This window comes from Homo sapiens, chromosome 12 (assembly GCF_000001405.40).
Source record: "Homo sapiens chromosome 12, GRCh38.p14 Primary Assembly".
NCBI classification, from domain to species: domain Eukaryota; kingdom Metazoa; phylum Chordata; class Mammalia; order Primates; family Hominidae; genus Homo; species Homo sapiens.
Window position 1 is genome coordinate 127612620 of NC_000012.12, and position 26362 is coordinate 127638981.

The following is a 26362-nucleotide window of genomic DNA, read 5'->3' on the forward strand; positions in this document are numbered from 1 at the left end:
TGCTATTCTTAGATCAAACCCTGGCCTTTAATAAAAGAATGCAGCTTTAGCTGCAGCCCAAGAGTTTGGAGATACCTGGTATCTTAGTCAAGTAAATGATAGAATGACAGCCAAAGAAAAGGACAAATTCCCTACTGGTCACCAAGCCATCCCCAGTATGGATCCCCACTGGGACCCCGTCTCAGATCATGAGGACTGGAGTCGCAAACATCTGTTGACCTGTGTTCTAGAAGAACTAAGGAGAATTAGGAAAAAGCCTGTGAATTATTCAGTGATGTCTACCATAACTCAGAGAAAGGAAGAAAATTCTTCTGCCTTCCTCAAGTGGCTACAGAAGGCCTTAAGAAAATATACTCCCCTGTCACCCGACTCCCTCGAGGGTCAATAGATCCTGAAAGATAAGTTTATTACCCAATCATCCACAGATATCAAGAGAAAGCTTCAAAAGCTAGCCATGGGCCCGGAACAAAATTTGGAGGCATTATTAAACCTGGCAATCTCAGTGTTCTGTAATAGGGACCAAGAGGAACAGGCTGAAAAGGAAAAGCAAGATAAGAGAAAGGCCACAGCATTAGTCATGGCCCTCAGACAAACAAACCTTGGTGGACAGAAAATGGAGCAGGCCAATCAACCGGTAGGGCTTGTTATCAGTGTGGTTTACAAGGGCACCTTAAAAAAGATTGTCCAATGAGAAACAAGCCGCCCCCTTGCCCATGTCCACTATGCCAAGGTGATCACTGGAAGGCACACTGCCCCAGAGGACAAAGGTTCTCTGGGCCAGAAGCTCCCAATCAGATGATCCAACGACAGGACTGAGGGTTCCCGAGCTCATGTCATCACCCTCACTGAGCCGTGGGTAAGTTTAACCATTGAGGGCCAGAAAATTGACTTCTTCCTGGACACTGGCACAGCCTTCTCAGTGTTAATCTCCTGCCCTGGACAGTTTTCCTCAAGGTCAGTTACCATCCAAGGAATCCTGGGACAGCCTGTAACCAGGTATTTCTCCCACCTCCTCAGTTGTAATTGGGAGACTTTGGTCTTTTCACATGCCTTTCTTGTTATGGATAAAAGTCCCATACCCTTATTAGGGATAGACATATTAGCCAAAGCTGGAACTATTATCTACATCAATGTGAGGAACAAATTGCCCATTTGTTGTCCCCTATTTGAGGAGGGAATCAACCCTGAAGTCTGGGCATTGGAAGGACAATTCGGAAGGGCAAAAAAATGCCCACCCAGTTCAAATCAGGCTAAGAGACTCCACCACTTTTCCTTATTAAAGGCAATATCCCTTAAGGTCTGAAGCTCATAAAGGATTACACAATATTGTTAGACATTTAAAAGCTTAAGGCTTATTAAGAAAATGCAACAGTCCCTGCAACACCCCATTTCTAGGAGTACAAAAACTGAATGGTCAGTGGAGACTAATGCAAGATCTTAGACTCATCAATGAGGCAGTAATTCCTCTATATCCAGTTGTACCCAACCCTTACACCCTGCTCTCTCAAAAAGAGAAGAAGCAGAATGGTTCACAGTTCCAGACCTCAAGGATGCTTTCTTCTGCATTCCCCTGCACTCTGACTCCCAGTTTCTCTTTGCCTTTGAGGATCCCACAGACCACACAACCCAACTTACATGGACAGTCTTGCCTTAAGGGTTTAGCAATAGCCCTCATCTGTTTGGTCAGGCACTGGTCCAAGATCTAGGCCACTTCTCAAGTCCAGGCACTCTGATCCTTCAGTATGTGAATGATTTACTTTTGGCTACCAGCTCAGAAGCCTCATGCCAGCAGGCTACTTTAGATCTCTTGAACTTTCTAACTAATCAAGGGTACAAAGTGTCTAAATTGAAGGCCCAGCTCTGCCTACAACAAGTCAAATATCTAGGCCTAGTCTTAGCCAGAGGAACCAGGGCCCTCAGCAAGGAACGAATACAGCCTATACTGGCTTGTCCTCACCCTAAGACATTAAAACAGTTGTGGGAGTTCCTTGGGATCACCAACTTTTGCTGACTATGGATCCCTGGATACAGTGAGATGGCCAGGCCACTCTATACTCTAATCAAAGAGACCCAGAGGGCAAATACTCATCTAGTAGAATGGGAACCAGAGGCAGAAACAGCCTTCAAAACCTTAAAGCAGGCCCTAGTTACAAGCTCTAGCCTTAAGCCTTCCCACAGAACAAAACTTCTCTTTATGCATCACAGAGAGAGTGGGGATAGTTCTCGGAGTCCTTTCTCAGACTCGTGGGACAACCCCACAACCAGTGGCATACGTAAGTAAGGAAACTTATGAAGTAGCAAAAGGCTGGCCTCACTGTTTATGGGTAGTTGCAGCAGTGGCCATCTTAATATCAGAGGCTATCAAAATAATACAAGGAAAGGATCTCACTGTCTGGACTACTCATGATGTAAATGGCATACTAGGTGCCAAAGGAAGTTTATGGTTATCAGACAACCACCTGCTTAGCTACTCCTTGAGGGACTGATACTTCAAATACACACATGTGTGGCCCTCAACCCTGCCGCTTTTCTCCCAGAGGATGGGGAACCAATCGAGCATGACTGCCAACAAATTGTAGCCCAGACTTATGCCACCCAAGAGGATCTCATAGAAGTCCCCTTAGCTAATCTTGACCTTAACCTGTACTCCAGTGGAAGTTCATTTGTGGAGAATGGGATATGAAGGGCAGGTTATGCCATAGTTAGTGATGTAACGGTACTTGAAGGTAAGCCTCTTCCCCCAGGGACCAACACTCAGCAGAGCTAGCAGCACTTACCTGAGCCTTAGAACTGGGAAAGGGAAAAAGAATAAATGTGTATACAGATAGCAAGTATGCTTATCTAATACTCCATGCCCATGCTGCAATATGGAAAGAAAGGGAGTTTCAAACCTCTGGTGGAGCCCCCATTAAATACCATAGGGAAATTATGGAGTTATTGCACACAGTGCAAAAACCCAAGGAAGAGGAAGTCTTACACTGCCAAAGCCATCAAAAAAGTGTAGGAGGAAAGGCAGAAGGAAACCGTCAGGCAGACACTGAGGCCAAAATTGCTGCCAGGCAGAACCTCCCATTAGAAATACCAAGGGAAGGACCCTTGGTATGGAACAACCCTCTCCAAGAGATTAAGCCCCAGTATTCCCTGACCAAAACAGAATGGGGACTTTCACAGGGGCGTAGTTTTCTCCCCTCGGGGTGGTTAATGGCAGAAAAGGGAAAGGTACTCATACCTAAAGCCAGCCAGTGGAAAATAGTTAAGACCCTCCACCAAACTTTTTATATGGGTATTAAAAGCCCTCATCAAATGGCCAAATCCTTATTTACAGGGCCAAATCTCCTCCAGACCATCGGACAAGTAGTCAAAGCCTATGAGGTGTGCCAAAGGAATAATCCCTTGTTCCATCGTAGGGCACCTCTGGGGGAACAAAGAATAGGGCACTATCCCGAAGAGGACTGGCAGTTAGACTTCACCCATATGCCTAATTCAAGGGGATTTCAATACTTGTTTGTTTGTGTTGATACATTTACAAATTGGATAGAAGCCTTCGCCTGCCAGACAGAGAATTCTCAGGAAGTGGTTAAAGTCCTAACTCATGAAATAATTCCTAGATTTGGGCTTCCCCAAAGCTTACAGAGTGACAATGGTCCATTTTTTAAAGCCACGATAACTCAGGGAAATTCCAGGGCACTAGGGATACAATATCACCTTCACTACACCTGGAGGCCACAATCCTCAGGGAAGGTCAAGAAAGCAAATGAAATACTCAAGAGGCACTTAAGGAAACTAACACAAGAAGCTCATCTCCCATGGCTTACTCTCTTGTCCATGGCCTTGCTGAGAATTTGAAATTCTCCTCACAAAATGGGGTTCAGTCCATATGAAATGCTATATGGACGACTTTTTCTCACAAATTACTTCTTACTTGATCAGGAAATGGCCAACTTGGTCAAAGATATCATTTCTTTGGCAAAATACCAACAAAACCTTAAAAACCTACCCGAAGGATGTCAAATACAAAATGGTATTTTCTCCAATGGGAAAAATAGAACACAGGGAGACACTCAGTTTGCTCCTAACACCCCTTTCCAGCCGCTCACCGCAGCTACCTTGGCAAGTACTCTAGGAGTATGGGAAAATGAAAACAACAAATTCACACACTTTTTTTTAACATACACAACAACCAGTTCTGTCTACCCAGCCAAGGTATATTCTTATGTGAAACTTAAACCTATATCTGCCTCCCCACCAACTGGACAGGCACCTGCACCTTAGTCTTCCTAAGTCCCAACATTGACATTGCCCCAGGAAATTAGACCCTATCAGTGCCCCCTCAAAGCTCAAGTTCATCAGCACAGGGCCATACGACTAATACCCCTACTTACAGGGTTAGGAATGGCCACTGCTACAGGAACCAGAATAGCCAGTTTATCTACTTCATTATCTTACTACCACACACTCTCAAAGGACTTCTCAGACAGTTTGCAAGAAACAACAAAATCTATCCTTATTCTACAATCCCAAATAGATTCTTTGGCAGCAGTGACTCTCCAAAACCGTCGAGGCCTAGACCTCCTCACTGCTAAGAAAGGAGGACTCTGCACCTTCTTAGGGGAAGAGTGTTGTTTTTACACTAACAAGTCAGGGATAACAGGAGACACCATCCAGCATTTATAGGAAAAGTCTTCTGAAATCAGACAATGCCTTTCAAACTCTTATACCAACCTCTGGAGTTGGGTGACATGGCTTCTCCCCTTTCTAGGTCCTGTGACAGCCATCTTGCTATTACTCACCTTCGGGCCCTGTATTTTTAACCTCCTTGTCAAATTTGTTTCCTCCAGGATCAAGGCCATCAAGCTACAGATGTTCCTACGAATGGAACCCCAAATGAGCTCAACTCACAACTTCTACCAAGAACCCCTGGACCAACCCACTGGCCCTTTGACTGGCCTAGAGAGTTCCCCTCTGGAGGACACTACAACTGCAGGGCCCCTTCTTCATCCCTATCCAGCAGAAAGTAGCTAGAGCAGTCATCACCCAATTCCCAACAGCAGTTGGGGTGTCCTGTTTAGAGGGGGGATTGAGAGGTGAAGCCAGCTGGACTTCCTGGGTCAAGTGGGGGCTTGGAGATCTTTTCTGTCTTAGAAGGAGATTGTAAAAGTCACCAATCAGTGCTCTGTAAAAATGCACCAATCAGTGCTCTGTAACTAGCAAGAGAATTGAAAAATGCACAATCAGCGCTCTGTAAAATGCACCAAACATCAGGATCCCAAAAGTAGCCAATCTCAGGGAGGATTGAAAAAAGGGCACTCTGACAGGACAAAAACAGAACATAGGAGGGGACAAATAAGGGAATAAAAGCTGGCTACCCCAGCCAGCAGAGGCAACCTGCTTGCATCCCCTTCCACACTGTGGAAGCTTTGTTCTTTCGCTCTTCACAATAAACCTTGCTACTGCTCACTCTTTGGGCCCGTGCCACCTTTAAGAGCTGTAACACTCACTGCAAAGGTCTGCGGCTTCATTCTTCATTCACTGGAAGCAACCAACTTGGGACACACCACCATGCCTGGTTAATTTTTTGTATTTTCAGTAGAGGTGGGGTTTCACTGTGTTAGCCAGGATTGTCTTGATCTCCTGACCTCATGATCTGCCTGCCTCTGCCTCCCAAAGTGCTGGGATTACAGGCGTGAGCCGCTATGCCCGGTGAACACATACATTTTCAACAGAAGAGCAAGAGAGCATAGAACCCAGAATAGCAGAGGCATATAGGCCCCGTTTTGCAGGAGTCAAATAACTTAATTCTTAGCACAATCCTGTAAGATGAATTCTGTTATAATCCCACTCTCTAGATAAAGAATTCAAGGCACCAAGAGTTTAGTTCATGAGCAGTAAGAGATTTGGGCCCAAGTGGTTTTGTGTCAAAGCTTATGCTTGGCATAATTTTTTGATAGAGAGCCAGATGGTAAATATTTTGGAATATTAGTGTTCAAATAGTCTGTGTCACAACTAGTGCCTCTGCTGTTGTAACATAAAAGCAGCCATAGCCAATGTATAAAAGAATAGCTGTCAACTTAAATGCCCATCAATGATAGATTGGATAAAGACGATGTGGTACATATACACTATGGCATACTATGCAGCCATGAAAAACAATGAGATCATATCCTGTGCAGGAACATGGATGGAACTGGAGGTCCTTATCCTTAGCAAACAAACACAAGAACAGAAAACCAAATATTGCATGTTTTCACTTATAAGCAGGAGCTAAATGATGAGAACACATGGATACATAGAGGGGAACAGCACACACTTGGGCCTATTGGAGGGTGGAGGGTGGGAGTGGGGAGAGGATCAGGAAAAATAACTAATGGGTAGTAAGCTTAGTACCTGGGTGATAAAATAATCTGTATAACAAACCCCTATGACACATGTATACCTATGTAACAAAGTGGCACATGTAACCCTGAACTTAAAAGTTAAGAAAAAAGAATGGGTTATGTATGTGTTCTAATAAAACTTTACTTGTAAAAACTGGTGAAGGCCAGAATCTGGGTTGTCACATGGGGCAGGAAGAGATGAGGACTGAGGAAAAGAGGAAGAAGTCAAGACAGAGGAATAAGGGAGGAATGCAAATAAGTTCCAAAGATATATTTCAAGCATTTTTAGTATTTTTTTCTTAATTTGCTCCTCCAGCAACAATTTATGTTTATTTATTTATTTTTAGACTAGTCAAGTGGAGTAGTGGAAGAAGGGAAAGAGTAGAACAAGGAGGTTGATCTGTAACTGACTGTGAACAGTCGATTGAGATAACTCGCTACCTTAGGACCAGCCCAGCAGGAATTTTTTAACTGGGCAGGATGGTGATAGGGGAGGTGTATTTTGTCAATCTTTAGCATCATAAGCTCAGAGAAAACATTTCTGTAGAGATGTAAATGGCCCCAAAGAATGAAGATGTTGGAATTTGGAACCATTTCAAGCCAATGGATAGTGATTTCTATTTTCAGGTTTTTTGTTTTGTTTTGTTTTTTGAGACACAGCCTTGCTCTGTTACCCAGGCTGGAGTGCAGTGGTGTGATCTTGGCTCACTGCAACCTCCGCATCCTGGGTTCAAAAGATTCTCATTCCTCAACCTCCCAAGTAGCTGGGATTACAGGCGTGTGCCACTGCACCTGGCTAATTTTTTTTGTATTTTTGGTAGAGACGGGGTTTCATTATGTTGGCCAGGCTGGTCTCAAACTCCTGGCCTCAGGTGATCTGCCCGCCTCGGCCTCCCGAAGTGCTGGGATTAGAGATGTGAGCCACCACTCCTGGCTGTTTTGCCTTTTAAATAATCAACAATGATTTAATAGTCAATTGGTGAATCCTTCCTCAATCCCTGGCTGAAAGGCGGGTGACTACTGTCTCTCTCCCAACCCTCTTTTGCATTTGCAAAACTGTGGCAGGGAAGAGGCTTGGGAAGTAAGCTCATTTGCCTCCTTGCCACTGGATTAGCAAGCAATGTCTCCTTCTTCCCTGTGACAATATCGGGTAGATTGGAGGCAAGTGTAATAGGCACATTTCCGGAGGAGAAAGCTGTGACCCATCCAGTTTGGATAAATGCCCTGTGGTTGGCGGGTCCAAAGCTCACAGGCAGAGCCTGATATTTTAAACCCAAATTCCTAAATATATTGGTCCTTTGGCCAAAGCTGACCCTTATATGTATTTAGTTTGGCCTGAAAAACATTTTTATAAAAGAAAATTCAGCTGTTTATATATTTTTAAAGATTTCACTTAAAAGGCTAGATTTCTGTTGACAAATCAGGAGAGTTGGCATTCTGGATGTTAGAGCCATTACCCCCAAGGCGAGGCTGGTGATGAAATATGAGGAGTGGGAAGCCGGTGGGGCTCAGGGCTTGTTTTCTAGGCTGCTTCTTTTAGAAACTGCTCTCATGTGTTTACTTAGTCCAAACACTCCATCAAGAAACAAGGTGGCCCAGATTAGAACAGTGTGCTTGCAGCTTCTTGGTTGCTAACATTGCCACAAAACAAATTACAGCAACAAAAATTTCCTTTTATAATAGCACATCCATAACTGGTATTGCAGAGAGTCTATAACGAGAGACATGGTATAAATACCCTGGGGCCATGGAAGAGATAGATGAAGAAGAAAAGAAAAAAAGCTTTCTAAACACTATCATAAATAAGTGATTTTTGTTGTTGTGTTGTTGTTTCACTTTGACTTTAGAAATAGTGATCAGCTCATGAAATCAAGCATTTTTGAGACAATGAATCTCTCAGCATGGGGGCTAATGAGAGAACAGATAACTGCCTGGGGCTGAATATCTGATTTTTCAGGGAGAAGAAAAGCTGAAATGAGGGGATAAAGTGCTTATTCTGTTGTGTAAACAGAAAGTGAATTAGAGAGGAACATGTTTATATCCTATAAAGTCTAACAGCCACTTAAGTGGATGGTATTATTTGAGAAGACAGAGTTTGCTGCTAATGGCCACTCTGCTCATCTCCCAGCTTGGCAGCTGCTTAGGCTTAAAAAGCTATGAAAGAACTGGAACAGAGTCCTGCTTAGTGAGTGGACTGAGCACGGGGGGTGATTCTGATGCTCTGTGAGAGACAGCAGGTGATTGGGAATAGCCCATGGTTAGAAATCGAGTATATAGGAATTGATGATAGTAGCTAATGTTTTTCCAAGAGCTGATGACATACCAGAGACTACTCCAAACAACATTTTGCAAGAATCAATTAATTTTTAAAACAGTCCTACTGATGCAGGATTTTTCTTGGCCCCTTTGCTGGACTCGTTGCAGGGGGCACCCCATCTGCTCAGCCTGCCATGCTCAGCCCCTGGTGGGAGGGAGCACACAAGGGAGTGAGCGCAGGGTCTGGCAGGCTGTCCGGAGTGCTGACACAGGAGCAAACTACATGTAAGGCCCGTGGCCAGACAGGGCATATCACCCCCAGGGGAAGGTGGCAGGGCCCAGGCAGGGGTGCTCATGACCCGGAAGCCCCAGAGGGGGTGTTACAGTGTGCTAATGAGCACTTTTAGTTCCACCGCCTTCCTGCAGCTCGACAAATGGTGGTGTGTTAGCCCCTCAGCCAGCCTCTTGCCCTGCTCTGACCCGTGGCTCTGGGACTGGTGTGGCTCCAGGGCCGGCTACCTCCCCCCATGGCTGCTTCTGTTGCATGGGGCAGCTGCCCTCCACTGGTGAGGGCAAAGGGCCAGTGTTACAGCCTTTCTGGGTACCCACGTTCACTGAGTCCCAAGCTCTTGTCCAGCATCCAAGAAGAATGAAGTCATGCTGACAATTGAAGGGTAGTAAAGGTGGAGAATTTTCTTGAGTAATGAAACAGCTCTCAGCAGAGAGGGAACAGGAAGGTTGGGTCATCTCTCCTGAAGTCAGTTCATCTCTCTCAGTGTGTCTGAGTCTGGGGCTTTTATAGGCACGGGATAGGGGAGTGTGTGCTAACTGGTTTGCGAGTATGCAAAAAAGGTTAAAGCCACCAGTCAGAGGTGGACAGAGTGTAAAGGCAGTTAGTGTAGATATATGTGAAATAGGTGAAGGGTGGGGATCCATCCAAGGAAAGCACACCAAACAGGAAGACGGGTTCTCAATCCAGTCTGTGGATTTGACTTGTAGCTTGACCTTCAGGCTTTAAACTGTCTTTGGCTTGAAGATGGGGTTTCACCAGGAACCCATCCCTGTCGGCCTAGGATTTCTCTGCCTCCTGCCTCTGTCACTACAAGGTGAATTCTGTAATAATCCCATGCTCTAGAGAAAGAATTCAAGGCACACAAAGTTTATGCCATGAGTTTTAAGAGATTGGGGCTTAAGCAGTTTGGTATCAATGCTTACGCTTGGCATAATTTTTTAGTGGAGGGCCAGAAAGTAATTTTAGAGTATTACTGACCAGATGGTCTCTCTCACAACTATCACCTCTGCTATTGTAGCATAGAAGCAGCCAACGTGTAAAGAAATGGATGTGAATGTTTTCTAATAAAACTTTATTTGTAAAAACTGATGGGAGCCAGGAGCTGGTCTGTGTACCTTAGCTTGCTAGCACCTCTTCTAAACCTGCTCTGCTCTGCCTGTCAGGAGCATGCTATTCCAGGAAAAGTGGCTGCAATGATGGGCTCCTGGGCCTTCAGGAACTTGTCCTATATCCTGCTGTGATGTCTCTCTGTCCATTGCTCTGTCTTTGGCCTTGATTCTTAAACTAGAAACGGAAGCTAACATATGCCACTTTTCCTCAATTTTTTTCTGAAGTTGTTGTCTTTTTACAGGATTTCTAGTGAGGAGAGGTCAGTGAATACACGAGGAAAGATCTCTTTGACAGCACATAGTTAGATGAACTTGGCTTGTAGGAATTGTCTGATGAGGGGGAGGTAAAAGATTATATTTGTATTTCTAAAGGGATAAGTAGGAAACTGGGAAAAGGGAAGGAGGAGAAAAGAAGATAAAATAATAAAACAACTATCTCCTAGTAAATTAGGGGTTCTCGGTTACAAAATGAACTAGGTTTGTTTCAATCTGTAGCTCAAACCAGTGTTTCCCAAGCTGTTTCTGCACAGTGGAATTACCAAGAGCTCTTAAAACATGCCTATTCCTGGCTCCCACCCTCTGACATTCTGGCTTAATTGCTAGGACCTGAACCTGGTCATTGGGCGATTTAGAAGGTCTCCCAGGTGATTCTAATCTGCAGCACAGTTGAGGAACCACTGACGTAGACTCTTCATCTTATAACAGCCTGTCAGGGGCTTGTGGTTTCTGCTTTGGAGAAGGCAGGGTGAAGGGAAGAGACAATATCTTTGCCTTCTGAGTTTTGAGCAGTTCTAGCGCCCGGTAAACAGCACCCTAGTAACCTGGCGAATAGACAGATTGGTGAGTGAATAGGTGGATGTGTCACAGGCATTTGAACCAGAGCGACTCCATCTTGAACAGGAGCTGGGTAAAATGAGGCTGAGACTGGCTGGGCTGCATTCCTAGGAGGTGAGGCATTCTAAGTCACAGGATGAGATAGGAGGTTGGCACAAGGTACATGTCATAAAGACCTTGCTGATAAAACAGTTTGCATTAAAGAAGCCAGCCAAATCCCACCAAAACCAAGATGGCAATGATGTGACCTCTGTTTGTCCTCACTGCTCATTATAGGCTAATTATAATACACTAGCATGCTAAAAGACACTCCCACCAGCACCATGACAGTTTACAAATGCCATGGCAACATCAGGAAGTTCCCCTATATGGTCTAAAAAGGGGAGGAACCTTCAGTTCTGGGAATTGTCCACCCCTTTCCCGGAAAACTCATGAATAATACACTGCTGATATCATGGCATAAATCAGAGGAAAGTAAATAGACCAAGATGATCTTTATAAAACTCCTGCAAGTGTTAAGTGTGATTGAACAACAGCATAACACTTTCCTAACCGATTCCCACAGGTGCATGCATTGAGCTGAGGGCTGGGAGAGCACTTTGTTGGGAGCCCCAGTTAAGGGATTCGTGGTACTCATGAGGAGCAGAGATGCATGAGTCTCCTCGCTGACTTTTCAGGTCCTCTCGCCGTTGTCTGACTCCATCCTGGCTGAGAAGACGGTGATTGTCCTGGATGACCGAGTCGCCATCGTGGAGCTGGGAGTGCAGCTCGTAGCTGGCATGTCTCTCTCCCTGCAGCCACACCGAGCAGACAAAAGGGCCATCGTCTCCACAGCCGCTGCCCTGGATGTTCTTCTGTCCCCACAGCAGGTGAGCATTCCAGGGGCCCTGCGTCCCTGGTCAGTGGAGATGACTTCTCTCTCAGTTAGCACATCCTGCGAAGGAGAGCAGGACAGCCCTCACGCCTAGGACTGGGGATTCTTGAAGCTTCTTGCTTCTTATCCAGGCTACCCTGTCTCTGAGAAAAGTATTCAGTGGCTTAGACACATTTTCTCTTATGTGCTTTTCCACCCACCACATCCCTATACGCCATTTGCTTTCCCCTGGGCTTATCTGTGCCAGGCACAGCCTGCTGCTAGACCATGACCAAAGGATCACGTGTTTTCACTTTTCTAGAACAAATTATATTTGATTCCTGAAATTCTATTTCAGCAATTTAAACAAATAGAGCTTGCAAATCCCAAATATCTGAGACAGGTCTCAGTCGATTTAGGAAGTTCATTTAGCCAAGGTTAAGGACGAACCTGTGACACAGCCTCAGGAGGTCTTGACAACATGTGCCCAAGGTAGTTGGGGTACAGCTCGTTTTTATGCATTTTAGGAAGATGCGAGACATCCCTCAGTACATGTAAGATTTACATTGGTTCCATCTGGAAGGGCAGGACAACTGGAAGGTAGGGGGAGCTTCCAGTTGATAGGTAGATTTATATATATTCTGATTGGCAATTAGTTGAAAGAGTTGTTGAGTTATTATCAATAGAAAGGAATGTCTGGGTTAGGATAAGGAGTTGTGGAGATCTAGGTTTTATCATGCAGATGAAGCCTCCAGGTTGCAGGCTTTAGAGAGAATAAATTGCAAATGTTTCTTATCAAATTTAAGATTTGTGTCGATGTTAATGCTGGAGGGGCATAATGAGGCGTGTTGGATCCCCACTTCCCGTCATGGCCTGAACCAGTTTTTCAGATTAAATTTTACAGTACTCTGGCGAGGAGGAAGTTCATTTAGATGCTGGAGCGATGAGTGGGAGGCCTTCAAATTTTATTTTTGGTTTACAGGCTAAAAGGCACCAATTCCTGTTGGTTTATATTAATTATTAACAACTCTTAAACCACAGACCCATCTTTGAACTTGAAGCCAATCTGTTTCAATTATCCCAAGTTCACTGTGTCTTCAAGCATGCCAATCTCCCATAATGCATCTTTCCTCAGATACTTTTAGCATGGCTTCCTAATAAAAATGCTTGACAGGATCTTGTCTTGAGCCTGATTAGTTGCACCTGAAATTGATTCAAATGTGTCATGTGATCTTTCAAACTCTTTTGGAAACGTCAAAGTCACATTCTGTTATATGACATTCAATCAGTTAATATACACATGACTGAATTCATTAAAGTATATCTTTTTTCCTTGCACCACTGGAGCTAGAAACTATTATTGATGTCAGTTGAATATATGACAGCCACTGTTCTGGATTCTGAAACACAGAAGCTTATTTTCCTTGTTATGCAGAAAACGTATTTTATAGGAGACCACATTTGTGCACATGTTCACAAATTTGAAAGAACCTGCGTTGGTTTCACTTTCTTTAGGAAGCAATAGTCCTTGGATGTTGTTCAGTGATGGTTTGCTCAGTTGATTTTGTCCCGTGATCTCTTTAGAGATTTATTAACCTGAGGATTTTTCAGTTGCTGTCTTATCATTGGATGAAATGGTGGTGTCTGTCCAGGCAAACCTTGAGTCCAAATGGTTGGTAGTGTTTGCAGAAGGTGAAGGACAGGTGCCCTTGTTTAAATTAGAAATGATGATTAGTGAGCTTTTCAGGTTCGCGATGAAGAAAAGAGTCAAGTTTACTTCCTACACCAGCATCCTCTGAGGGGACAGTGGGCCATATACAACTCTGTCCTGTTTGACAGTGATGATATCATCAAGTGGGTCTGCCAAGGTATGCAGCTGGGGAAATCCCAGGACTTTGGAGACTGCAGTTGGCCCTCTGCATTTGCGGTTCCAAATTTGTGGATTCAAGGAATCTCAAATTGAAAAATAGTCCCCCCAAAAACAATGAAAAGTAACAATACAACAATAAAAACAATGAAAATTTAAAATAATGCAGCATAAACAATATTTACATAGAATAAGTATGTAAAGATGATTTAAAATATAGGGGAAGATGTGCATAGGTTATCTGCAGATGATTTAAAGTATAGGGGAAGGTGATTTAAAGTATAGCGGAAGATGTACAGAGGTTATCTGCAAATATTGCACCATTTTATATGAGGGACTTGAACATCCTTGGATTTTGGTATCCACGGGGTTCCTGAAACCAATGTCCCGTGGATGCCAAGGGACTATTTAATATGGGAAAACTGCAAGACCAGATGTAAACTTCTTTCTTATGTTTGTATTCATCTGCATATCTTTTGGTTTCTTAAATAGTGAAGTGGTGAGTTTTATCGTCAATAGAGGATGATTTAGCAAAGCCTAATTTGTGGAAGTCTTGTAGGATCCCTTTCTAGGCAGGTAACAGAGGTTTGAAGAAGATGGCTTTTAAGTGAGGGTGTGCCCCAGACAATGACAAGGAGATGCTGGAAACATCATAGGACAACATTTTCACATACTTCCTGGAACCAGTGCTATACAATAAATCTAAGACTTTTGATGTTACTAGTCATCTGCGGGTAAACAGCCACTTGGAATTAGAAAGGATTTGGGTATTGATTTTTCTATTCTTAATCTCTTGCGAAGCATAGTGGCCACCGCTTGTCCTTGGCCTGAGAGTAGGTGCATATAAAAGATAATGGAATGTTACCACCCTTATTTGGAATGAGCACTGCTCTTGTTTTGAGTACTTGGGCAAAAGGCTGGGACTAAGGAGTGGCTGCCAGAGGGTAGTGGAGGGTGCTGCAGTGTACTGCAGGATGCTGGAGGTTGCTTCAGGGTGGCAGAGGGTGCTGGAGGGTGCTGGAGGCTGCTGGAAAGTGCTAGAGGGTGCTGGAGTGCACAGCAGGGTGCTGCTGAAGGGTGCTGGAGGGTGCTGCAGGGTGCTGGAGGGTGCTGCGGGGTACTGCAGGGTGTACTACATGACTCTGAGTGTACCTCATCCATCTCTTCCTATACCCTCCCTGTGTATGCATTAGCAGCTAATTTCTTTGGCCTGTGTAATTTTTCTGGAAATAGGAATAGGAAACACTAAATCAATGTTTATTTCAAGAATCTGTTTGATTGGCATATATGTTTTATTTCCTGGGATTTTTCATGTCATTTACTGGGTATCCATGCTGGCTGTCAGTTTTTTTCCACTTTTCCTCACATAAGTGTTCAGGGGCAGTACCTAAATTCTTATCCCGACTTTATCTTTTCCTGTTTCCCTTTTTGAAATCCTGAGGGTTTTTTTTTGTTTTTGTTTTTGTCTGTTTTAATTGTTATTTTAGACTTGGGGATACATGTGAAAGTTTGTTACATAGATGAGCACGTGTTGTTGGGGGTTGTTGTACATATTGTTACATCACCAAGATATTAAGTTCAGTACCCAGTACTTATTTTTTCTGCTCCTCTCTCTCCTCCTCCCCTCCTCCTCAGGTACACTTCAGTGTCTGTTGTTTCCTTCTTTGCATTCATAAGTTCTTATCATTTAGCTCCCACTTCTAAGTGAGAGCATGCAGTATTTGGTTGTCTGTTCCTGCATTAGTTTGCTAAGGATGATAACCTCCAGAAATCTTTTGTATATGAATTGGACAAGAAGTTTTATTTAACATGTGAGTGTACAATAAAAAAGTACTAGTTTATAAATGATTTTTAGATAAACCTTGTAGAGTTTGGGGAAACACTGAGAACCATATACATATATATATATTTTTCCTCTCTGGTAGTTGTAACTTCATGGAGAGCTAATATTTTGGGGGGTTAAAATCTCCCAATTAAAATACTATTAGCTCTACATATGCAAACATTTTGTAGGCATCATATCTCGGTATCCAACATGAAATCTAAAAATAGTATTGATATGCACAAACATGAAACTGCCTGGGAAACATCTGCAGCTGAGACTTTCCATTTGCTTGAACAACAATAAAAATAAATATATAGAAGAATGTTTCTATTTACCAGTATGTAGATATCCACCTGTAGGGTGACCAGAAAATATTCACAATTGTCTTTCCGGTAGAGGGAAAACATTCATAGTATGCTCACTGAGGGAGAAACTGGCAGGTAGTGCAAAAAAAAAAAAATCATAGAAGTGAATAGACATTCTAAAAATTGAGAAGCAATTTTCAGGAAAAACACAGGTACTGTAAATCAAAGTGACAAAGAAAAAAATTGCATAGTTTCTGCATTACTTTTAAAATAGAAAATGTTTCTGAATTAACCACAGAAATGATCCTACACAGAGCAAGAATGCAAGAGCAGGAAGATTTAATAAAAAATGTATCTGTAAAGATGGATCGGCTGCTGAGACAGATATTGATCTAGACTGGCTTATGAGAGTCTCCGTTAAACCATTTCTTCTCTAAGCAATAGAGTTTTAAGGAGCAGGCATTGGAAAGACTCGCAGGAGTCATCTGAGGTAGCTCCATGACTTCAAGAGGCTGATGACTCAGTTATTCAAAATAGAGTGCAGCCATCCTCCAATTATAGATGTCCATGGATGGAAGCATCCCAGGCTCTCTTCCCTGATGATCTCATCACATTAGTAGACAAGAAGTTCTTCCTGTATCTCTAGTCCATGGGTCCATGGTGAGTCTAGGGTCTGTGTGCAAATCATGAGTGATGTGTGTCTGTCACCATGAGCGGGTGTTCAGTGAGTCCTGTAGATGTTCAAATTGTAGTTGGAAGGTGAAGTTGGTAACACTTGATTTTCTTTTTCAATTCCAGTGAAGCCAGGAGACCCAAGACATTTGCTGTAAACAGATTATTTAAAAAGATGACTAGCGCTTGTAGTCAGAGCTCCTCTGCTAGCCAGGGTACAGCTCCACGGTTTCTGCAGTGTTCCCTGGGGAGACAGCCCCACGTGGCAGAGAGAAGTACATGCTAATTGAGATATAATTATTCAAATGAAACCTGCTGCCTCTCAAAGTTACTTTCCATGGTCTCTCCTTTTTAATGCTTGACATTTGGCCCAGGCATAATGAGAATTCATTTCTGAAACCAGATCCTCAAAACCCCATTACAGGATGAGTCATACACCGTCAGCCAGGACAGATCCCTCTGGAAACGGGGACTTTGTAGAATTTGGGGGTTGGATGGGGAGAGCTTGCCTGGTGGGTGGGAGAGAAAATGGATATCACCTTAGTGATGAAAAACCCAATTAAGGCAGCCTGAAGTATAACAGTTCCCATGGCGAGAGGGCTCAGTGTGGTACAGGAAGCAAACTCAGTACGATGATGTGGCAGAAGTTCTCATCCAAGCTGGAAACTGCACCACTTTTTCAAAGAGAGCTCTGTCAAGAGAACATCTAGAGATGACAGAAGTGCTCACTGAGAGTCTCTCCCGTGCAGTCACCGATTTTCCTTGTGCCAGAACTTTTTCAGCTCCTCGTCAAAAACTCAACAAAAGGCTGCAGTTCATTGGATTGTGATTCTTCATTTTTTCTCAGGTTTGCCATTGACTTTCATCAGGTTAATATAATTTTATTAATGTCTTTTCTTCTCTAAATGTTTCTTGCCAATTAGAAACCATGGGTTATATTTACCCTTGTTTTCCTCAAACAGAATATGTATTGCACTCCGAAGAACATAAACCAATATGGAAAAATGAACATGAATTATTAGATTCTGAGATGCAGCTTTTTGGTGGGTCCTAAGATATTTGCCTGAATCAAGTAGGATCTTAGTGGATGAGGTATCCAAACTTTTGATCTGGAAAAACAATTTCATCCAAAATCTGGCATAAAGTCCCTTCCTTTTCTCCAGGATGCAGTGGTTCAGATCTTGAGGCAGATACTAGAACTCCTGACATCATCTCAGAATTCTTTCATTTGCAAATGCTTCAGGTACAGAAGTCCAAATGCTTATTGAAGCATTTACAAAATGCTTTGGGTGCAGAAGTCCAAATGCTTCAATAAGACCATGCAGCTTAAAAGATTTGAGTATGTGAGATGTCAGTTCCTGTGCTCTAGATCAGTGGTCCCTAATCTTTTGGGAACCAGACAACTTTTCCATGGACTTGGGGGATTCTGGATTCGATGCATTCCCATCTATGTGTTTTGCTTCTGTTGTCTGTACTTTTAGAGTCCTATTCAAAAAATCATTGCCCAGGCCCATGTAAAGAACTTTGTTGACTATACTTCAATAAAGATGGGAATAAAATAAAACACAATACAATAAATAAAATAAACTAAGAAGAAGAAGAAACAAATAAAAAATGCAGGCTGGACCCATCAGGGTTAACCAAGTCCATTAGCAGTAGGGAGAATAATTGCATCCCATCTCGACACGCATTCAAACTATCCTTTTCTCTTCATTTAATAGCCTCAGTCCTCCCCTTCTCTGTCTGTGTAAGCATAGCATATGTGCCTTCCCATCTAAACAGCCATTTCCCCAGTTAAAACCACACTTGACTAATATAACACATATTCTCTACTTTACAAAGAGTACTAATTTAAAAGGATAGTGGAACATTATGCTAAAATATTGACTATAGAGTTCCATTTATGTAATGGATACAGCATACTGAAACACTAAAATGTATATTGGAACAAGGATGCTTTCAAGTAAAAGCATGCAAAGGTGTAGATTTTAAACGCACGGCCATCGAACTCTGAAATATTTAAATGAAAGGGGAGGAGGCATTTCGAGAGGACAAGGTAAAATGCACTGCATTTAAATATCTGGCCCACGTTTGGGATGGTTGCTGGTATCATTGGCATGTTCTAGTCTCTCTGTTTTCCTTGTGATTTTATTTTTCCTGGACTTACTTCAGCAGTGAAAAGAGTTCATATTCCAGCATAAAGACATCTTTCCACCACAGGGTGTCATATATTGAAACATGAAAATAAACAGTGAAACATTCTTCAATTCGGGGTGCAATTATTTTATTACACACACTTATCTCAGCATTGTAATTTTAGCCATTCACAAGCACATTATGATATGGGACAGAGCCCCTGTCCTTGTCCTCTTTTCCCAAACTTAGGACTTGGTAGAAAGGATCAGAGTCCACATTTAGGCATTCAGATGGAAAGAAACGGTTCATTCTGTTGCATGTGCTGGTTGCCTTACTAGGTTTCATGCATTCTTCCAGGTTTCTCTGTGGGGTTACATACACCAAGTAGAACTATGTAAAAAATAGAGGCGGCCTCAGTGGTTGCATGCAGGCTTTCGGAGGTGAATAAGCTGATCCTGCACTTCTAGTTACCCAGCTGCTTGGTGTGCGGGTGGTAGCAAACATCTCTATGATTTGGCAATGTTTCCATCCAAATAATTTGAAGTTGATGATTTTTAATAAATCTGAAAAGATAAATATGAACTTAAAAGTGTTAAAAGCATGTAGAAATTTTACCTTCAAGAGGCATTTTATTTATTCTCATAGTAGCCAGCCAAATGGTATTTGCAGATGCATATCCCATAGTGTTAAAGAAAGGAAGAGGTAGAGTATTTCTTATACCCCAGCTCAGGGGCCAAACCAGACTGAAACTCAGAGCCAAAGTTAATATTCCATGTCTACTTGATGGTTATCCCTGTTCCACTATTGGGCTGTATTTGTTCATGGCTTAGATGTGTGTATGCGTGTATGTGTGTGTGTGTGTGTGTGTGTGTGTGTGTGTGTATTTATGTGGGTGTCTATGTATGTGTGTATATATGGTGTGTATGTGTGTATGTCTTGGATGTTTGCATATGGTAACTGTATGTGTACTGTGTGTGTGTGTGGTTGTATGTGCATTTATGTATTATGTATGGCATGTGCTTGTGTGCTTGGATGAGTGTCTGATGTGTATTATATATTTATGTGTGTATGCACATGCATTTGTATGTTTGTATGTGCATATATGTTTGTGTGTTTAAGTGTTGCATGTGTGCATATCGAGGGGAGGGATTTATATGGGTCCAAGTTCCCTGGGATGCTGATGCTGTGGAACAGGAAGACCTACTCAGACATAAGAAAAGTGCAAAATGACCCTGGATTCTGTTTTGCTCCCTGAAGGTTTCTGTAGATGTGTCAGCTGGGAGACTGGTGCGTGCACTTGCCAAGCCCCCGCAGACTCTCAGCCATCTCTGCGTCTCCCAAAACTGCCAGCATCACCTTTGACATTTTAGCAAATGTTATTCCATACTCTCAGGATGAAAAGAGAAGTCTTGGCAACCCACGGTTTGAATACCTGGATGTGTCTCAGTAGTTCCCCTAAGCCAAGCCTGCTCTTTCGCCAAGCCCCACGGGCAGCCCATGAGTAAATGGAGTAGTGCGTCTCTGTGCAGCTAAGCCTGTGGAGCAGCGTGCTTGCATGCTTCAAAGAGTCGATAGAATAGGAGGCAAAATGCTCTCCCATACTTACGAGCCCTTTCTTCCCTATCGACATTACTTCCTACAACTAGAAAAAAACACCGTTTTCACTAATAGCTTCATCCTGTTCTTTTTCTACGGGAAAACAGGAGAGCCAAGCTGCTGGCCACCGAGAGTTTTTCCCAGATCTCAGCATGTATGTATAGCTTTTAGTATAATTGGATTCAAAGAAAGAAGGAACAGAGACATTTTGAAATAAGATTCAGAAAAGAAAAACACTTTGTGTTTGGGAGTTTATTTGCAAAATGCAAACACTGCATTGAAAATATTTTGATATTGAAGTTCTTAACAGTTACTGAAAATTTCTTTATGTATTTAGATAATTTATATGGGTTACGGTGGGAGATGTTTGTTTTTTAGAAAAAATAAAATATATAGAAAAGTGTAGAAAATAGATTAATGTAAACCCCTCCCCTTGCTGGAAACCAGCGGGACACTAATACTTTCTTGACGGGAATTAACAACCCAGGAGGTTTTCAAACCCATCAGGGACATATTCCTCTCACCCTAAGAAGGCTGGGATGTTATCCATAGAAAAAACAAGCCAATCTTCGTGTTTTAGGAGAGCTTGAAAATATCTCTGGCTTTAACTGTTGCTTTGGGTTATTTATTTAGATGAAATATTTTAATTTTATTTTAGGTTCAGGATCATCTCTTTAGACACTGCAGAGGCTAAGAGTAGGGGCAGCCCTTTTAGTCACTGGGATTAAAGGGCTATATGATGAGATGAACAATTTGAAATGTAGGGTCTGTGAGAGACTGCCTCCTCTCCTCATTTAAGAGTATTTTACTTTGTTTTAGGATGGCTTAAATCACCATTGACCTGACACTGTTCCCTCTATTTCTTAGACCTAAAGTCATGTAAAAAAACAGGCACTCTTAACTTTTATATTTTATTGCAAATTGAGAATTAAATACCTCCTTACTTTTATGATGAAATCTGACCCAACAAATTAAATAGCAAAAATGTGCAAGTGTAGACACTGCCTGTATAAGGCACTTAATTCCTACCTCTCTCGCTTCCTTACAGGGGAGGGCTCTTCCCCCTTTCAGATCCATTTTAGAAGTTTCTTTATATCCTGGGTTCCTTGGGTACTCCTATGCAGGGCAGGCATTTCCCACGTGGGTAAACATTTTGGGTGGGAGTGGGGCAAGCACAGCTGGCTTCTGTGAGCACACTCCACCCATCACTCAGCACTCTCGTTTCATCCCTCTGTTGTTGAAGACTCCACCAGCACAGCTGTGCAATGGCATGGGGTTTACCACCTCACAGCTGCATTAAGGCAACAGATTGTGCAAAACTCCATGAGCCAATGCTGCACAGAAAGATGTGGGGTTGCCAGATGGAAGGATGGAGGTGCTCCTTCTTAGCACAGGCTTGGAAGGATGGAGGTGTCCCTCTTAGCACAGGTTCGGAAGGATGGAGGTGCTCCCTCCTATCACAGGTTTGGAAGGATGGAGGTGCTCCCTCTTAGCACAGGCTTGGAAGGATGGAGGTGCTCCCTCCTATCACAGGTTTGGAAGGATGGAGGTGCTCCCTCTTAGCACAGGCTTGGAAGGATGGAGGTGTCCCTCTTAGCACAGGTTCGGAAGGATGGAGGTGCTCCCTCCTATCACAGGTTTGGAAGGATGGAGGTGTTTCCTCTTAGCACAGGTTCAGAAGGATGGAGATGCTCCCTCCTATCACAGGTTTGGAAGGATGGAGGTGTTCCCTCTTAGCACAGGCTTAGAAGGATGGAGGTGTCCCTCTTAGCACAGGTTTGGAGGGATGGAAGTGCTCCCTCTTAGCATAGGTTTGGGATTCTGTGGGGTCTGTGTTGGTTGCTCCTGTGCCCACACCCTTTTAATAGTTAGCTTTCATGCAGAGCCTTATTTTCAACTTGATCACTGTAAACTACACTTCAATTCAAAAAACAAATTGAAGGACCAGCATTCCTGATGATGATGTTCTAGGCAAGCCTCACATATCTTTGAAGATTTAGGCAAACTCCTAGACATGGGAAAGGCAAGCACTGGAAGTGAAAAATTAAATAACAAAAATGATCAAAACCAGGAACAAAGAAATGGTTATAAAACCCTATGAAAGATACACACTTTCACTTTCCCTAATTATACCTGGGCTCTTGGGGGGAAATGGCTTTTATGCTGTATCAGTGGGAAATTAATGTTGACAGCATTGCTTATCTATAATATGTATCTAAATATCAGGCCGTCCTCTCACAAATTAGTTTGCACACCAGTCATTAGTCCTCAGCTACAGTCTATTGTCTCAGAGCAATGAATTAGTTCTGGGCTTCTAGAATAGGTTTGAGAGAGAATTGGAGTGAAGTTCCCAGGAGACTGATAAGGCGTCTGCATGAACGCAGCAATGCATGGAAGGAGAATGAGGTAGAGATTTCTATGGGTTAGCAAATGAGGAGCTAGTGACCTGCTGGACCAGTGATGTGTTCACGTAGGTCATGGAAACAGCAAGAGATGAGCTTAACCCAACAGGGATCTTCTGACAAGACCAAAGAAGCAGCGTGAACATGTGCTGGATTGGAGAGCATATGTTCTTTTACTAAATTAACAGCTCAAGTACAACCTTCCCTAATCCCTTACCTGCTCTCTTTCACACCAGAGGCTCCCAGAAAGAGGCCGGCCAAGCTAGAGAAGGAGAGAAAGTCTGCAGTTAAATCAAGGACATAGTTTGGATCTGTATCTGGGACAGTGAGACTGTGTTCATTAACCAAGCTGGCCATGGGTGGATGTGAAGAGGTAGGCAAGCTGCACAGGTTGAGGGACTGATCCCACAAGACACTTCTGACACCAACTCCCAGCATAGAGGTTTCTGTAAACTACCTTGTGTTTTAACACTTTACTGGGATGATGCTCAGATCCCAGAAAAGTGCTATCCTTATGAGTACAGTTTTGTTTAGTGAAATGATTCAAATTTAGAACCAAGCAAAGGATGAGACCCATAAGGAGGGGTCCAAGGCGAAGCTCCAGAGTCCTTTCCTCATGAAGGCCTTGACAGTGTTGCCTTCTTCAGGCTATGATGTATGACAGTACACACAGAGTGGTGCCCACCAGGAAGCTCGCCTGAGCTGCAATGTGCAGAGTTTGTATTGGGGCTGAACTGCGTGGATATGATTTATTGAACCATGGATCGCATGGTTAAACTCAGTTTTCGGTCCCCCTTCCTTACCTGGAGGATGACATCACCTGGCTCAGAAACTCAAACCTCAGGATACAGTTTTGGTCTTTCTGGCCTGGCCATCCCCTGCTGAGTCATCTCATCAGCATAAGGCATCAGGCGTGAAAAATAAAGGTCCTCCAATCACTCAAGACATTTCAAGACTTTAGTGGTTATTTCCCAGGAGCTAGGGTAAAAGACACAACTTTTGATAGAGTTGTTTGCCACACAATGGCCTATTATTTAAACATAAGCAGAAAAGCCCATTTACATAGGAGAAGGTGAAGTTCCCCCTACTGAGTAAATTTGAGAGGGGCATCAGGAAAGAGAAGAAAGTTTGTGTTATGATCCTGTGTGACACATAAGGCATTCTTATCAGTCATCTCAAAGATGGGAGGAAATTGGAGTAGATATTGTACAATTGACAACATCACAGCTGTAAAATAATTCTCCATGTTTTCTTCTCTTACCCACTGTGTTCCCGGGCAGGTCAAAGTGTGATGCTGGGTTTGGCCTCTGTCTTCCTGGTCTGACCTCACAATTGATTGGGGGTAGATGTTGACTTAAAGTTGCAGGTGCTACTTATCTTGGGAAATAACTTCCCACAGTCCTATTATTTTACCCTTTCAAGAAACTTGGAGGCAGCTAGGTCAGAATATTAGTGTTTCATTTTGCAGATAAGAACCCTGGCCATTAGAACTGGCCCATAAACCCTCAGTGAATTGAGGGAAGAGCTATGATTAGGATCCAAGCCTTCCTCCTATTCCATGGTTCATTCCAATAATCCCACATGGAAGTCCACCACTGCCCTTGGGTCATGAGAATGAGGCTGCTGCTACAGCTACAAAATGTAGTGCCAGAGACCATTCAGTCCCTTTTCTTGTGTCATCCACAAAGTGCAGTGGCTGGCTTAAGTATTAGAGTCGTTCCATATGTGTAAAGTAGAGGAAACCCTAACATCAGCCCCTTGAGCTAAGAAACCCCTTGGTGTTCGTTGTAGCACCAGAAGCTTATGCCAGCACCATGTATTTTACCCCACAAAAATGGATGAGAAAGGAGCTGCCGAGCTGGGGAGGGGAGAAGGGAAATGAGCTATGTCATCAGGCCCTGAAACCCCAGATCAAACAACATTCCAGCACATAAATATTCATCCAAGCAGCATGTCCAGTTGCAGTCCATTTAGCATGACATTAACAGTGAGCTGTAAGACAAAAGCCCAGGAGCTCATTATCATGAGCCAGGCTTGGGAACATTTGGAGCAAGTTCTGAAATAATTAATGTTTCATTTGAATAATGTGATGAACATGCACATTTGTTTTATTGTGGGGCTCTTTTGGAGATCCCTGCAACCCTCCCTCTTGTGGAATGCCTGGTGGCAAGGGACCTGCCCATCAGGAGGAAGAATCAGGAGTGTTATTTTTAACTCCTCATCATTAGAGGAAACACACACATCTCGAAGTCTGGAAGGAGTGATTATTAGCCGTTCAGCTGAGAAATAGCCTGGTGTCTACAATGCATCATTTTCCAATTATTTAGATATTTTTCAATGCCTTAAATACTGGAGGCATATAAAACCCAGCTCATTTACTCTCCCTAAATTATACTTTCTCCATCTGCCATGGTCTTACAGTTTAATAAAACCTCTACTTTTTACAAGCCCAATAAAATCATGGAAAATACGGAGGAAGCTCAGTTTCAGCTTGATTTGGTTTTTGTTTTTCTTTTAGGGGGAAGAATTGATATATCTGAACTGGAAAATAATTTTCATATGCTCAGTTTGCTAATATAGTTTGGAGATTTTTTTAAGGCCACTTACCAAAAAAAAGGTAATTTTATGTTTTTCTTATGAGATATTCCAAAATACTGTGGCATTAGAAAGTTGTGATTTTCACTGGAAACAGAAAGAAATAAGCCAGATTTCCCCACCTCCATAAATCAATTCCAGATCCCAATGGTTTTGACTGCATTTATCAGTCTTTCTTTATTGAAACTCTCTGTCTCACATGTCTAGCCCAGAGCTCAAAATGCTGAATAGAAGGAAGGGAGAGGTCTGTGCACTTTGCTGAGTTTGTGCCATGGAAGAAATCTATACTCACACATGCATGGAAAAGCGTCAATATTTGCAGTGGCAAAGAACTAGTAGTTATGCTAAGGTCAATTTCATGCCAAAACAATAAGAAATATTCTATATTTTATTAATTTTTTTAAAAACTTGTAGGGCCTCTGGGAATCCTACATGGGAACCCAGAATATATTCTGTCTATGTATTTCAGGTTCTGGAACTTCAGCTTTAGAAAATCAGTTTCATTGGAAACCCTCTTCCAGTGTGACCTTGTGTTATTGCCAACTAAAAAATACTCAAGTAGAGGATTTCCAAGACTAAGTTATATTTTTTCCTACAACAAGATACCTAAAGCCACACATCCATGTGTTTGGTTCAGAAACTCTCCAGTGTCTTCCAACACCCAGGCTTTTTCCATCCCCCTGTTCCAGTTTCTTCTGACTACTGGCTTGGTCCTTATATTGCCACCTCATGCCCTAAAATGGCTACCAGAGCTCCTAGCATCAGACAACCATACAACTGTATTCACACAACCATGGTCAAAAGAAGGACAAAGTCAGGTTTCTACATGTGCATCTCACTAATTACGGAAGAATCCCCTTACAGATGTGCCCGTTGAGATGTCCTCACAGGTATCTTTGACCAGGATTTAGTTACACGTCTTTGACAAAGGAGTTTGGAAATCCTCTCAAGTCTGTGAGTTGTATCAGAAAAAAAAAAAAAGGGAAAACAACTGAGAAGAGGCAAAGAAAGAGCTTTCTACATATACCTAGACCTGATTAAACTTTCCTTTGATCTCTAAAACCACTTTGCGGTTCATAAATCTTATTAACTCAAATGCCCTTCATTTGAAATTTATGATAATTTGGACAAGGACAAGGTATAAATTAAGAAAATATCTGGTAAGCGAATAAAATATTTCAAAATTAATAGTATCAAATGATAGAAGTACAGAAGTACTACCAGCCCTTGCAAGGGATAAATAAAC

The 26362-nt window shown here is 42.7% G+C and overlaps 2 long non-coding RNA genes and 1 pseudogene across 2 annotated transcripts, besides 1 other annotated feature; 2 read left to right on the forward strand and 1 right to left on the reverse strand.

Moving 5' to 3' along the window:
- The first annotated feature begins 723 nt into the window (after positions 1–723).
- LOC124903051 (uncharacterized) lies at positions 724–26362 on the forward strand. Its single transcript, XR_007063524.1, has 3 exons — positions 724–856; positions 4839–11734; positions 25040–26362. It is a non-coding gene; the product is annotated as an uncharacterized LOC124903051 (long non-coding RNA).
- Positions 10661–11860: an enhancer, noted in NCBI's record as "BRD4-independent group 4 enhancer chr12:128107825-128109024 (GRCh37/hg19 assembly coordinates)". NCBI's record gives its function as "activates an origin of replication core promoter dependent on BRD2, P300/CBP, MED14 and CDK7 cofactors, and independent of BRD4, by STARR-seq in HCT116 cells {active_cell/tissue: HCT116}" and the evidence as "EXISTENCE:reporter gene assay evidence [ECO:0000049][PMID:35650434]".
- LOC100420119 (transmembrane protein 132B pseudogene) lies at positions 11534–13717 on the forward strand (annotated as a pseudogene).
- On the reverse strand, positions 18650–23848 carry LINC02411 (long intergenic non-protein coding RNA 2411). Its single transcript, NR_120451.1, has 4 exons — positions 23783–23848; positions 23325–23499; positions 22739–22783; positions 18650–19086 (listed from the first exon to the last, which is right to left on the reverse strand). It is a non-coding gene; the product is annotated as a long intergenic non-protein coding RNA 2411 (long non-coding RNA).